The 15,940-nt window shown below is 34.7% G+C and overlaps 1 protein-coding gene across 1 annotated transcript in view; it reads right to left on the bottom strand.

Moving 5' to 3' along the window:
* Window positions 5,332-15,940, bottom strand: part of GPC5 (glypican 5) — a 1,468,617-nt gene continuing 1,458,008 nt past the window's right edge. Inside the window, exon 8 of the mRNA NM_004466.6 lies at window positions 5,332-6,287. Coding sequence (NP_004457.1) covers window positions 6,130-6,287 — 158 coding nt within the window. The 3' untranslated portion in view covers window positions 5,332-6,129. The remainder of the gene's footprint in view (window positions 6,288-15,940) is intronic.

The raw sequence follows: 15,940 nt of genomic DNA, 5'->3' as shown, positions 1-15,940 counted from the left end.
CTGAAGTTCAAAGAGTTACAGGACTTGCCGAAGGTCATACAGAAAATTACTGCTAAAGCCTTTGAAGCTCCATTTGCTGTTTTCTCCAGCATTTTTGGATGCTTGTGAGTCAATGAACGAGCCAACTACCCCATCATATGGCCACACTAGGGCACCTGGCATATGGAATCTCCTCAGGATCCTCAACCTTACTACTAGAGCTAAATTTGAGATGAAAGACAAATGAAAAATAAAATATCTTAGAGAGAAGACATTTTAGAAAGTGAATAAAACAAGGGAACATTTAAAAATAGCCTATACAGCCTTCAAGTAGCCTAACCTAACCTAATTGACCTATCAAAAGTTTTCTGAACCCTGGGATACTGAGTGGTGCAGTGGAAAAAAGGATTTTGAAGGCTGATTTTAGAATGCTTGCTTTGTCTATCACTGGCAATGTGACCTTAATGAAGTGATTTTGCCTCTCAGAAATAACCACTTGGGGGTAACTTAGGTGAGATACTGAGCAACACACTTCTTGTTTACTCATATTTGTTCTTCCCACCGCGCTTGGGTTGTACTGGTAACCCACAGTATAATAATCCCACAGAGATGGAGGTCTAAATACACCAGTCAAGGAGACCTTCAAGCAAGGTTTGGAGGTCTCTAAATTTGTCATTGTAGACACCAATTCACATTTGAATACTGGGTCAGAGCTAATATCCTTTTATATTCAATGAAAGAAAGACCACTTACTCCCAATACTTAAAAAAATAAACTTTCAGTGAATAAGCCTCATAGCCAGGATGAGTCCAGGCAAAACATGAAACATGAAGCAGGCAGTATGGGTTTCTTGTGCATTCCAGAGTCCATTGCTTCTCTTCTCTTTCCCTTTCCTGAACCCTACTCATTCACTCTCCAACCATCTTCTCTACGCTCTGGATATGGTTTGGCTCCAGGTCCTCACCGAAATATCGTGTTGAATTTTAATTCCCAGTGTTAGGAAGGGACCTGGTGGGAGGTTATTTGTTCATGGGGCTGGAGTTTCCCCTTGCTGTTCTCTTGACAGTGAGTTTTCACAAGATCAGGTTGTTTGAAAGTGGGTTGCACTTCCCCATTCACTCTCTCTCTCCTGCTGCCATGTGAAGATTGTGCCTGCTTCCCTTTTGCCTTCTACCATGATTGTAAGTTTCCTGAGGCCTTCCCAGCTATGCCTACTGTACAACCTACAGAACTGTGAGTCAATTAAACCTCTTTTCTTCATAAATTATCCAGTCTCAGGTAGTTCTTTATAGTAGTATGAAAACAGACTAACACAGATCTCTTCCCCTATCAAAAACTTATTGACAGGCAGAATCCATAACTAAATATTCTAGTGTTGTCCCATCCTGGAAACATGTGCACTTTAACAGAAAGCTCTGTGGGAAGGGAACAAACACGAATCATTATGGCTCATCATGGGCCAGCAGGGTCCTAATAGGTGTTGGATTATCTAGTTCTCTAAGTAACACTGTGAGGTAGATACAGTTATCTCAATTTTTACAGATAAGAAAAGAGAAAGGAAATAGAGACAGTAGCCAGAAAATGTATGTGGGGAATGAGTATGTATATGGATGGAGCGGCAGGGTGGGGGGGTCAAGGAGAGAAGTGAGAATGTGCCCTGGGTGAGCAAATCACATTGACTTTGCAAATTGGGTCCTGGAACTCTTTGATCACAATTATGGAGTCACTCTTTCTGGAACATACTATACCGTTCACAGCATTTGTCTTACAGCTGGGCCTTCTTGTTCTTGTTCTTCGTTTTTCTTTCTTCTTGTTATGCTAGTGGTCTTGGCTGAGTAATCTCAGGAAAATCAGAGACCTCCCTTTTTTTCTAAGAGTCTTCATTCCTTCCAATCCAACATGTTTAAAGGTGGGTATCAAACTCATAAAAGTAAGAATTTACTTATTACTGCAGTCAGTCCCATTCCTTCTGTCTCCAACCAGTTTTGATCCTTAAATGTTCACCGTTCTGTTCTTAATTCTATGGTCTTTCAAATTCTGATATATTGTCTTTCACTCTGGTCTTCAATGTAGTCAAAGTAAAATTTTAAGGGGAAAATAAGATGCGTGATCTTCTCACACACATTTTCATGAAGTTGATTCCAGTGTGAGAATTGGCAAGTGCAGGAAGGCAAAAGTCTCTTAAATCAGATGTTTCCAAAAAGTAACCATGGACATCCACTCCTACTCTACTCTCTTCCAAATAAGTTATTGTTTTCTGCTATGGAAATATAAATTATATTGTGATGAAATTACTCAGTTTTCTCTGTGCAAGGAGGCAGAAAGGATAGCTTAAGAATTATATTTGATTAGATCTCTAGTCATAAAGTAATTATAACAGTAATTCAGTCACTCTGTAATTTTACTAAAGGCAAGGAAAGCAGACTTTTGACTTGAGAAATATGTTTTATCTGTATTTTAATCAAAAATGACTTGTATACAACAATCTGCATTTAAAGAAAAACTTGATATGTTCACATTCATACCTAACAACATTAGAAATTATTATTTCTGAATTTTCATAACCCATGTAATTGTATATGAATGACATTAAAGGTTGCAAACTAAATACAATAGTGATGTAGCCTGCTCAACAAAGTTCTCATTCAGAATAAGAGACGTCTAGGTTGAATATATTCATTCAAGAAAAAAATCATTTTTATTGTCCTTGAAGGATTCTGATGTTAGAAACAATATTTTATATGATAGCAAACAGTTAGTAATAAATGAATTTAGTCCTTTTCAAAGCATCATTATTGAGCACTTCAGAAAATCTGAGTGTTGGGAGGAAAGAGCTTATTAACCTCAGTCCTTTTTTAGTGAGAAGATAACCATGCAGACATTATTTTATTGTACCATGTACTGTAACCATGCAGACATTATTTATTCACAGAATAAATAGAGGATAAAGGCAAATCTAAGATTTAAAAAATAATTTTCTGCCATGCCCTTTCCCTTCCTTCCCTTCTTCCTTCCCTCCCTCCTTCCCTCCCTCCTCCCTCCTTTCCTTCCTTCCTTCCTCCTCTCCTTCCTTTCATTTTTTTATGCCATCCTATAGCCAAAGAAATGTTTTATACCTTTTTGTTGCAAAGGAAACTAAAATAAACTTCATGATCCCATTAGAGTTAAAACAGTTGTGTTTTCTTTCTCATTCTCGGCAGCTGATTTATTTTCAGGGCTGATGTGTTTAGAGTGGGTTTGAATATATGGGAGGGTAATGAATGGTACTAAAAAAAGTCCATGTTTACACTTCTCCTTTTTATTATGTTTCTACACTAATGTGCATTTTGGTAATTAGACAATTATTCTATAGCCAACTGTATTTGTTAAATCCTAGTTTGGAGACTTAAGTAGTCTCTGAATGATTTTTGTGCTAACCTGTAGTTCCTCGCTGTTGTTCCAAAACTGTATCTTTGAACCAGAAAGGTATACAGTTTATTTAAAGGTATCATACTCACCATCTAACTCTGTTATGATTAGTTGTATGACATCTGTCAAATTCCCTAATATTTATAAGCTCAGTTTTCTCATTGGTAAAATGGAAATGTCAGTGTTTTTGGGGAGATTAAATGACATTGTGCATCAAGGCATTTATCATGGTGCGTATACAAAGAAAGGCCAAGTAAATGTTAGTTCTGCTTCTAAACCTAGTCTCCCCAATATATGCAAAATATCAGACGAAGTTTTATGATTACTTAAACTCATAAAAATAACTCCGGGATTCAAGAATATGGCTCTTTTAAAAATTACACCAGCATAAAATGTGACTATGTGTGTGATATTTTTAAATACATACATTCAGTCTGATGTAATCTATTAAATAATCTTGGAAAGTAGACACATATCCAACACTTGTATCATTGCTCAAAACTTTCTTAGACCTTATTAATGAAAAACTCTCCAGAAGCAAATTCTGAGCCATATAAAAAATCAGCATTATTGTTTTTATTTGACTGAAAATCAAGCCTATCTTTGAGGGGGCGAAGAAAGTCCAAATGAGATACTCTCTCTCATTTGAAAGAGCTTTGCAATTCATAAGAAACTATGTAGATATGAAATGTCACAGAATGGGAAGTGTTAATGGATAAGTATATCCTTACTGAGAATATTAACAATTTTGCCTTAGGCTTTTAAAGAAATTCTGAAAACCCCAGTGTTTTAAGCTCTAGTAACACCATTATTGCTTATATAGTCCCCAAAGTGCCCACCTGCAGATAACACCCATCTGAGCATGTAAAACTTAGTTTAAAAAAAAATAATCATTTCTTGTATTGACTTTACCACTCTGCTTTTGTCCATTTCTTGCCATATCTGAAATTATCTTCTGTCAATTAATTTTATCCATATATCTTAGACTGCTAAAGCATGCTCTTCAGTTTGTTTGTCTTTAGAATTAAATTCCTCTTAAGTTGGGTCTGAAATTTTGCCGTAGCAAGCCAATCATGACTTGGGCTGGAGGGCAGCAAATGAGTGCCTTAGTATCACTTTTTTCCAAGACTGATTTAAATGAAGAGCTGAGGTTGAAGTAAAAAATTTTCAAAATAGGGTTAAGTTTGTAATTTGTGGAGTGTGTCAAGGTGAGTGCAAATGAGTTATTAACTGAATGGATCAGGGAATGTTAGGTGTGGAATGGAAGCCTAGGAAAATGGCATCCACAACTGATGGGTAGAATAACACTTACGGTTCTGAGGCATGTTTGAATGGAGGGTAAAACCTGATTGGGCAGCTTAAAAATGTTGTGATTTAAACTAACCATCCTTAGATCATTTTGTTAATTGAGAACTTAAGCGAGAACAAGGTTTGATCATATATTGTTTCCTGACTAGCAGAAACGGATTTTACCTTATTAATGTTTGCATTTGGCTGTGTCTTGTTTACGTCTTTGTCAGAAGTCATTTCAAATTTTTTTTTGTTTTTTTTTATTTGAGGTCAGCAATTCCCTTTTCTATTCTGTGACTTTGTATTAATTATATTTTCTCTCTGTAGACTGGATGTGATACTTATTAATAAAAACTAACTTCTCTTTTCCTCAAGTATAGCCATATACATATCCTATTAGTGTCTATTGAGGCAACTTATCCCAACTGAGAAATTAGGGACTGTTGGTTTGCAGCTCCATTAATGAGCAAATAGGAAAGAGCTAAAGTGTTGCATATCATCTTTTCTGTACATGTCTGCAGATATTCATAGGAACCTTAGAAATGCAAAGGTAGCCAATTGTACAACATCAGGCTTTAAAAAGTAGTACATAATATTTTGAAAATGGGTGAAAATAGCATTTTTGCCAGAAGAAAATGACAAATATTCTTCAAATTTTTCCACCAAATAGTTAACAGCTTTATTGGAGATATTCCTAGAGCAAGCATGTGCTTCCCAACATAGCTAAATCTATGAGGCAAAGAGAGAGATGGGAGCAGAGGCACAATACCAAAGATGCATTTTGAATATAATGGAATACAAATCAGGTGTTAATAAAATACTCAGCTTTAAGGTTCATCAGTGGCTAAGTTACAGTGGGTCAAAATTATCAAGGTTCTTCAGTGAAATTATATGAAATGCTTCTCAAGAATCTACCCCATAACTTATAGACATTCAGACATTTCCTTCTACAGCTTGCAAAAATGGAAGAGTCTCTTGAATATGCATGCATACTACTTGCCATTGTATGTTTTGATTTATTTCATGATATTCTAATTTCAATACTTTAAGAAATACTGCATACTGTTTTCATTGTCTGGCAAATACACTTTCAAATGAAAACATTTTTAATTTAGAAAGGAAGGGGCTTGGAATTGATAATAAAATTACAGATACACTAAATTCTTCTTATTCAAAGTCACTTCTGTGCCCTTCACATCTTCAGATTTAATATATTAGAAGTTAAGAAGGTTTTCAGTTAGATTGAAAAAAGACATATTTTTAAAGTGTGTCATTTAAACGTTGAGTTTTAGGGACTTTATGAATATTTCAGCTTGGCTTCTGAGAAGTTAGTGTAACATATCTTTTCATAAATATAATTGTTACATTGAAAAAGGATCTCTTATTCCAGGCATATGCAGAGAGAGAAGAAATCGAGACTTCAGTAAGGTATGTCAGGACAGAAGAGTTCAGTTACCAAATCCCGGGAAGTAACATCACCACACTTATCAGAGTGAATGTCATAGATTCAGTCGCCACTGCACATCCTGCTCCTGTTGTGTCTAAAGTACTGCCAGTGTCTGTTTGATGGATTTGCTTTACATCACTGAAGTTCATATCATCTGGCATCCCTGTAGAGGCAAATAAGAAAGCACAGGTGATGCATGACCACTTCACCATAATACGTCTAGAACAACTCTTAAACTCAAAGTGTGGACAGCATTGTTTTTGGGGACCATTCTCTATGTTCACCTAACTCTAACATAATTAATATGACACAGGTATTTCTGTCCTACTTAGATTGGAGAGTTCAAGCTCTTGTGTGAAAATTCTCAAATATTATAAGAGCAAAGTGAAAAGATTTTTAGCTTTTTAAAATTTTTGGAACATTTCTCTGCCACTGGTAAGTAAGTGAAGACATTTAATTAATTAATATATCCTAGGTATGGGATTAGTTCTTGTTTCAGAGATTTATCACCTTCAGTAACTGAAAACTTTTCCCATGAAAATAAAACCAGTTGAGGGGATATAATTGAATAAAATATTTTTTAAAAGTAGAATTTCTACAGATCATATTTTACATTAGAATAAAGTAGGCCTAAGATCTTTTTCAAATTTATTTTCATTTTTACTTGACAAATTTTATAGATATTGATGGGGTACAATGTGATATTTTGACAAGTATACCAGGAGGAATGATAAAGTCAAGCTGGCTAGCATATCCATCACCTCACATCCTTAGCATTTTTCTTGTGGAGGGAACATTTGAAATGTACCTTCTTGGCAATTTGGAAATATACAGTACATTATGAATGATAGTTACCATGCTGCGCAATGGTCTAAAACATTTCTTCCTCCTGTCTAACTAAACTTTGTACCCTCCAACCACCATCTCCCCTCCCTTCCCCACATCCATCCCCTGGCAGCCACCCTTTTACTTTCCCCTTTTATGACTTCAGCTATTTTAGATTCCACATGTAAGTGAGATCAGGAATTAGGACCTTTATGGAAATAGCAAATAGCAAAGAATAATAGCAACAAATGTTAAATTATATCTTCCATACACACATACAGCTGTGAGGATGGAGGTGTAGATATCTATCAACAGATCAAAGAAGTTGTTAATGGGTGGACTGGAGAATGAAGTTAGGGATAAAGTGTTTCATTTAAAAAAAAGCGGGCAAAGTCATACACCAAGATCCAGTCGCATTCTGGTTATTACTTCCGTACGTTATGAAACCTGACAAGTTGAGGAAAAAACTATCCCCTTAATTAACTGGGTTGAAAGAATTGCTTTTTAAAGATGTTTACCTTAGTACGATATACCTAGGGAATTACTGATTCATCACTTATTATCTAGTGCCATCAGTGTTCTGAGACTAAGTGACTGAATTATCTCATAGCATGCCACTATCAGTCACAATTAACAGATTTAAATTCATTGTTACTACAGCCACAAATATTGACATGGTAATTACAGAGAGATTGAAAGAATAAACTTCATATAAGGAAAAGTCAATATTTATGTAATTAGGCCAATATATATATATATAATTCAGAAGATAAGCTGTGCTGCATTCAGACATGAGAGCACTAAAACGAAGCAAAGCTCTGCTGATCTGACATATTGATTTTACAGTCTGAGCTCTTACATTATTATTCATTGTTTGGGTGCTTGTTTTGCCCTTCTGTGTCATTAGGCAAGATGAATAAACTAGTGATTCCCTTTTTTATTTTTTTTAAATAGGGACTAGAGTGGAGTGTGAATATTTTAGTCATGGCTTTATACCTCTTGTTAAGCTTAACAAGAAGCTATGAGGACTCCAGGCAATTAAAAATATTTTTTTTTTCTAAGATAACTACATAAATTTGAGCATTACAGGATTTACTTTTCATTTTTAAGCATTGTGAATTTGTGTTTGGATGGGATCCATGAATAAGGTTTTCTTATGCCATTCTGAGCTTATATTTTGTTCATTCATGAGCCAGACACTGATTTAGGTTTAGTGGATGCCATCATGGGTGAAAATATGTAAGTAGAAAGATGTTAAATCTTATGCCTGCAAGCCAGACAATGGCAGGAGAGCTTTTCTGCCTTCAATCAGATGCTATTTTACCATCTTACATTAAGGTGTTACTAATAAATAAATGTAACAGTTCTAAGGAATATGGCCTTTGAGTAATAAGTATGTGAAAAGAATTCAAGATCTTTTCAAGAGCCTGGCAGTCATGGCCGTAGTTATGGATCAAATCACAACCTTGTCATCTGTAAAAAGACATTAGCATGCCAAAAATTCTAGCTCCATGAATATTTGATGCAATGATTATTTTCATAAAGAAATTTAATTAACCAAGCTTATAAATTATACCAAGGCTTATAAAGACCTATAAAAGAAAAAATTAGTTTGGAGATTTATTGTATTAATACATTAAAGAAAAACAAAGTAATTTTTGAATACTCTTATATGCATAACAGCAACACACAAAGGTGTGAATAAATTCATAGTTTTGCTCTTAGTGGTTTATGGTCTGATGGGGAAAGAAAATTGCGTTATTAAAAAATGAAGGAAATATTATTACACAGAGACAGACCTGGTGATTGGTGCTATGAAATATGGTAGGCCGAGAGCAGTGGCTCACACCTGTAATCTCAGCACTTTGGGAGGCTGATGCAGGCAGATCACCTGAGGTCGGGAGTACAAGACCAGCCTGACCAACATGGAGAAACCCCGTCTCTACTAAAAATACAAAATTAGCCAGGTGTGGTGGTGCGTGCCTGTAATCCCAGCTACTTGGGAAGCCGAGGCAGGAGAATCACTTGAACTCGGGAGGTGGAGGTTGCGGTGAGCCTAGATTGTGCCATTGCACTCCAGCCTGGGCAGCAAGAACGAAACTCCATCTCGAAATAAGGTAAAGGGATGTAACTTGGTCAGGGAGTGCTCTGCTAAGGAAGTGGTAAAGTGTATTAATTTATTTGATAATATCTACAGAGCCCTTGCTGTGGTGTCAGGTACAGTTCCAAGTACTTCACAAATGTTAAGTCATTTAATTTTCACAACAGTCGCATAAAATAGGCACTGTTATTATTACCTGCTTTTATAGATGAGGAAACTGAGGCACTAGAAAGTTAAGTGACCATAAGCAGTGGAGCCAAGATCAAATCCAGAAGTCTAGACCCAGTCTGTGCTCTGATCACCTGCCTCCCTGATTCCAAGCACATTGCTTGGCACCACCAAGTCAATACTTAAATTGAGAACAAAAAAGATAAATTATGTTACCTACAAAGTGCATTAGGAGTGTTTTCTCTCCTTCCTTGTCATCTGGAATGGCTGAGTAGGTGCTACTTTGGGGTATTAATCAAGTAACTGGAAGTATTCAGAGGTAGAATCCATGTGGGCAAGTTAATGATGACGAATCAGAATGGCCTGATGAATCTGAGAGGACAGCACCTTCTTTTTGTCATTTACACAGAGGCAGGAGAGTGTGGGTATTTTCCTCTATCTCTATTTCATCTGTCTACGTATTTTAAAAATGCTTTTAGTTTCACTAAGGAAAGGCAAGTATGTTTAGAGACAATTTGTTCTATTTTTAATAAAATTGCATGGACAAGAACGTATACATTGTTAATTTGCTCGTTCATTTATAAAATCTATTCACTGCCAGCTCTGTGTCAGGTATTGTGCTGGAGAGTGAATATACAGTGTGTACTTACAGCCTTTTCCTTCACACTTAGACGAGTCAAATCTATCTATCTATCTATCTATCTATCTATCTATCTATCTATCTGTCTATCTATCTCCACTAGATATATCTGACACCAGATTTCTTGACACTTAGACGAGTCAAATATCTATATATCTATATATCTATCTATATATATATCTCCACCAGGTATCTTTTTCACCATTCCAATGGTGAGAGTACGGGGCAGATGGAATGCTGGGAGCAGGACTCCAGATCCTATAGATCATTATTTGAATTCAACACTAAGTTAATAATGAAGTCAAAATAATTTATTTCTGGAAAATATCCATTTTTAAGGTAGCTATAGTCATGACACCTCAAAAAATATCTATTACAAAGAACACTTTTAATTAATATTGTTGAATGAATAAATTGAATAATGACTCATTTACACAAGAACAGGATAAGGTTGATATAATTATTTCCCCTTATTCTAAAGATTAGGAAGTTTGATATAATTAAGTTCCCTTATTCTAAATATTTGGAACAGGTGTAGAAGAAGTAATTTACTCAAGGTAACATAGCTGTGGCAGAATTCCAGTTGTGCCCCATTCAAATGTGGTCCTCATTGATTCCAGAGCCATACTGTTTGCCACTACACATTCAAAGCATTGAACTCGAGGTCAAATTCTGGCTTTGCCACAGTCTAGCTGGTTGACTTTAGCTATGACCCACATTTCTTGGAACTTTCAAATGAGAGCATTTTCAGTAAGAGAGGAGAGTTAATCAAAACATCTTTCTGGCTAAATTATTAAATCAATATTTGAAAAAATAAGCTAGAATTTTATCCCATAGCATTGTCTAAAGTAAATGTCTGTGGGACCAAAACTTAAGTAAAAATAATGAGGAAGTAAACAAAATATATAGGTCTATATTTTTATTTATATACAGTTGAGTAAAGCCTACATATTTTAAGTCAGAATCTATAAAAAGAAAATTAATAGTTTTGATATCACACAAGAAAAGAACCTTTGGTACAACAAAAAACACCACAACAAAATTGAGGATACACACAGAAAAATGGAGAAAATTTTGCATTATAGATTGCAGCAAAAAGATGTCTTGAACGTAAAAATAGTTGTTACAATCCATGTGAAAACTACAAATGTTCCTGTAGAGAAATGGTGAAAGAACAGAAATGGATATTTACAATAATAAGAAAAAGGGAAAGTCTTCTTCACTGGACAACAAATAAGTACTATCATACACACAATGAAGTGTCAATTATCTATTGTCCAGGTGTTAAAAGCAAGACAGAGAGGAGAGTGTAACCAGTTGGGCAAGGGTACAGCCCTTCATTAGAGAATTTGCCAAAATATATTAAAAGTGTTTAAAATGTTCATTTGCTTAGACCAAATAATTCCACTTTTATGCAGCAATTCTGTGTGAATAATGAAGAGTATGTGCACATATTTATTCAAAAATGTTAATCTGTGCATTGTTAATGAAAATCCTAAGCAAATTAAGTGCCAATTGGTAGGGAATTGGGTTAAGAAAATTAAGGTGCATTCATTTATTTAAAACTCTTTAAGGAGTAAATATTTATTAATACAGAAAAATGTATTTTGATAGCACTTAATGTATATAAATTTTAATAAAATACATGTATATATATACTTTCATGCTCTTTAATGTTCTTTTAATTCTAATAGTCTATTGCTGTGTTTCCTTGAGAGTAGAGACTCTCTCATTAATTTCTGTATTGACCTAGCAAGCATTTAGCAATAATTAGGTGAATGAATAAGTTGAATGAATTTAATCCAGGGCATAAAATTACTAAATAATACAAATATGTTTCTCTTAGTGTCTTTTAATATAAAAACAAAAATTATATTGCAGCAACTCAGACTGTAAAATAAAGGATTAGAATTAGATGTGAATTAGAATTTTACATTTAATAAGACAGGTGGTAAATATCATGGAAAAGATTCATTATGAGGAAACTGACTTGACAAATATCTTCTGAATAAAATTGCTACGAATCTTATTATGTTAAATTTAAACTGTTAACTTTGGTCACTAGTTACTAGACTAATTCTTGTCATTTATGCTAACATTAGCCACATGTATTTTGGCTGGACATTAAGGATTCTAACAAATCTGAGATGGCTTAGCATAACTATTTCCCATTTTTAAAGAAAGTATGAGGAGCTAATTCAGTCAGGTCATGTCTCCTAGTAAATATGATTGGTGGGTGCATCCAGTATGTTGGGTCAGTTGAGTTGAGGATATACTTTTTAAAATGATGAGTTGTTTTCCAAAACCTAGGGATTCTGTATAACCCGAGAACCAAAGAAGAGTGACTGTATGGCTAAAGATACAAGGTTCCCGGTAGCCCTATAGCCTCATCAACACTCGTAACTGAAGGGCAATGCAACTGTCTTCATGAAAGCCTTTTCTATTCCTTGTGAAACAGAATTTTGAGATATAGTTCTCTTTTTGATCTTAATGTTTTATAGCAATAGTAGCCTTCCTTTTTTGATAAATTATGTAAAAATAATGGAGTTATCCAAATTGTTAATAAGTGAAACAATGAATGAAATGAAGTAATGAGATATTCTGACTGTAAACCAAAGATTAAGGTAAAATAGTATAATTTATTTTGAAATTATAGCTCTGAGTAATAGCAAGGAAATTGTCACTGTATCAGATAAATTATTAGTGGCTCTCTAATAATGAATAATAACTAGACTTTTTTTTCTGGATTGAAGTTTAAAGATGAAGGGAATATTGTTTAGATCTTTTGACAGTTCCTGATGCTATATTTCATCCAATAATGGTCACCCAGTTCTTTTTCCTAAGTTTGCTTTATTGATTTTTGAAGAATTTAGCAAAAGAACACACATCTGATTTTGAAAGAACATATTATTTTAAGCTATTTTATAGCAATACTGATGTTATGATTTTTATCATTCTTGTGAAATTACTTCTAGAACGAATATACAAATAGAAAATTTAAAAGGTCATTTTTGCATAATTGGTAATTAAAACTAAGTATTAAAAGTATATCTATTAAATATACCACAGTACTCAGTTATATACTAGTTCTTAGTGATAAGAATTTACAGGTAATTTGGAATAATTATTACTAATGATTCAGAAAATTATTTTTAAAAAGTATAAGGCTGAAAAATACTATGAGTTAATGAAATTAGAAAATTTTATATCTTATTTAGGTTAGTGATAATATGGACTTAAAGTGCTATTAAAAATTAAAATAATTTAAAAATGCATATCTATGTCTCGACATATGGTAGTGATAGTCTGCAGTACCAAAGACAAAGAGAAATTTTTTCAAATGACCAGAAAAAAAGGTGGCTGTTAACAGAACAAAACATTAGATTAATTTTAAAGAAACAATAACAGAGGCTAAAATAAGTAGAATAATTTGTTCTATTGTTATTTTTGTTATTATTTTTAGAGATAGGGTCTTTCTATGTTGCCCATGCTGGAGTGCAGTGATACCATCATAGCTCACTGCAGTCTAGAACTCCTGGGCTCAAGCAATCCTCTTGCTTCAGCCTCTCAAGAAGCTGGGGCTACAGTCACATGCCACCATACCTTGATAATTTTTTTTAAAAAAAGTTTTTTGTAGAGATGGGGGTTTTGCTTTGCTGTCCAGGCTGGTCTTGAACTACTGGCCTCAAGTGATACCCCTGCCTTGGTTTCCCAAAATGTTGGGATTATAGGTGTGAGCCACACACCAGGTCAGAATAATTTATTTTAAACATGAAAGAAAGTAATTATCTATATAGAATTCTATACAGAGTTAAATTATGTAGAAGAAATGAGTACTTTCAAGAAAGAGTATTTCTAACCACTCCCTGACAAATTCTTTTTTTGGTTTTAATTTCCATTTTTATCTTAGTTTCATGGGGTACATGTGCAGGTTCGTAACACAGGTATATTATGTGATATTGAGGCTTGGACTTCTGGTGATCCCATCACCCAGACAGTGAACATTGTACCCAATAGGAACTTTTTCAGCCCTTGCCCTCCTCCTGCCCTCCCTCTTTTTGGAGTCACCATTGTCTATTTTCGTCTATATCTGTGTGTAGGCAAGATTTAACTCTCACTGTTAACTAAGAACATGTGATATTTGATTTCCTGTTTCTGCATTGATTCACCTAGGGTAATGGTCTCCAGCTGCATCCATGTTGCTGCAAAGGACACTATGTCATTTTTTTATAGCTGCATGGTGTCTGTATTAGTTTGTTCTCATGCTGCTAAGGAAGACATACCTGAGAGTGGGTAATTTATGAAGGAAAGAGTTTTAATTAACTCACAGTTCCACATAGCTGGGGAGGCCTCACCATCATGGCGGAAGACAAAGGAAGAGCAAAGGGATGGTGGCAGGCAAGACAGCGTGTGCAGGGGAACTGCCCTTTATAAAACCATCAGATCTCATGAGACTTATTCACTATCATGAGAACAGCACAGAAAGACCTGTCCCCATGATTCAATTACCTCCAACCAGGTCCCTCCCATGACACAGGGGAATTATGGGAACTACAAGATGAGATTTGGGTGGGAACACAGCCAAACCATATCAGTGTCTACATACCACATTTTATTTATCCAGTCTACCACTGATGGGCACCTAAGTTGGTTCTAGGTCTTTGCTATTGTGAATAGTTCTGTGATGAACATATGAGTGCGTGTGACTTTTTGGTAGAACAATTTCTTTTCCTTTGGGTATATACCAGTAATCGGATTGCTGGGTGGAATGGTAGTTCTGTTTTTATTTCATTGAGAAATCTCCAAACTGCTTTCCACAGGTGAACTAATTTACATATCCGTCAGAAATGTATAAATATTCCCTTTTCTTCCCAGCCTTGCCAGCATCTGTTGTTTTTTGACTTTTTAATAATAGCCATTCTGACTGGTGTGAGATGCTATCTCATTGTGATTTTGATTTGCATTTCTGGAATGATTAATGATGTTAAGCATTTTTTTCATATGTTTATTGGTTGCTTCTGTGTTTTCTTTTGAGAAGTGTCTCTTCATGTACTTTGCCCACTTTTTGATGAGGTTATTTGTGTTTTGCTTTTTGATTTGTTTAACTTCCTTATAGACTCTGGATAGTAGACCTTTGACAGATGCATAGGTTGTAAATATTTTTATCCATTATGTAAGGTGTCTGTTTACTTTGTTAATAGTTTCTTTTGCTGTACAGAAGCTCTTTGGTTTAATTAGGTCCAACTTGTCAACTTTTATTTCTGCTGCAATTGCTTTTAAGGACTTGGTCATAAATTTTTTACCAAGGATGAAGTCCAGAAGGGTATTTCCTATGTTTTCTTCTGGGATTTTTATACTTTGAGGTCTTACATTTAGGTCTTTAATCCATTTTCGGTTAATTTTTGTATATGGTGACATGTAGGAGTCCAGTTTAATTCTTCTGTATATGGTTAGCCAGTTTTCCCAGTACCATTTATTGAATAGGGAGTCTGTTCCCCATTGCTTATGTTTGTCAACTTTGTCAAAGATCAGTTCTTTCTATGTGTGCTGCTTCATTTCTGCATTATCTATTCTGTTCCATTTCGTCTGTGTTTTTGTACCGGTACCATGCTGTTTTTGTTACTGTAGCCTTGTATACTTTGAAGCTGGCCAATGTCATGCTTCCAGCTTTGTTCTTTTTGCCTAGGATTGCTTTGGCTATTCAGGCTTTTTTTTGTTCCATATAAATTTTGATTTTTTTTCCCTAATTCTGTGAAAAATGACATTGGTCATTTGATAGGAGTAGCATTGAATCTATAGATTGCTTTTGGCAGTATAACCACTTTAACAATATTGATTCTTCTAATCCATGAGTGTGGAATGTTTCCCCCTTTGTGTCATCTGCAATTTCTTTCATAAGTGTTTTGTAGTTCTTCTTGTAGAGATCTTTCACCTTCTTGGTTAGATGTATTCCTAGGTATTTTATTTTTTAAGGCTATTACAAATGGGATTATGCTATTGATTTGGCTCTCAGCTTGAATGTTATTAGTATATAGTAATAATATTGATTTTTGTACATTGATTTTGTATCCTGAAACTTTAC

The sequence above is a fragment of the Homo sapiens genome, chromosome 13 (genome assembly GCF_000001405.40).
Source record: "Homo sapiens chromosome 13, GRCh38.p14 Primary Assembly".
NCBI lineage: Eukaryota > Metazoa > Chordata > Mammalia > Primates > Hominidae > Homo > Homo sapiens.
Note: the sequence above shows the minus strand (reverse complement) of the source record. Positions and strands in the feature narration are given on the sequence as shown.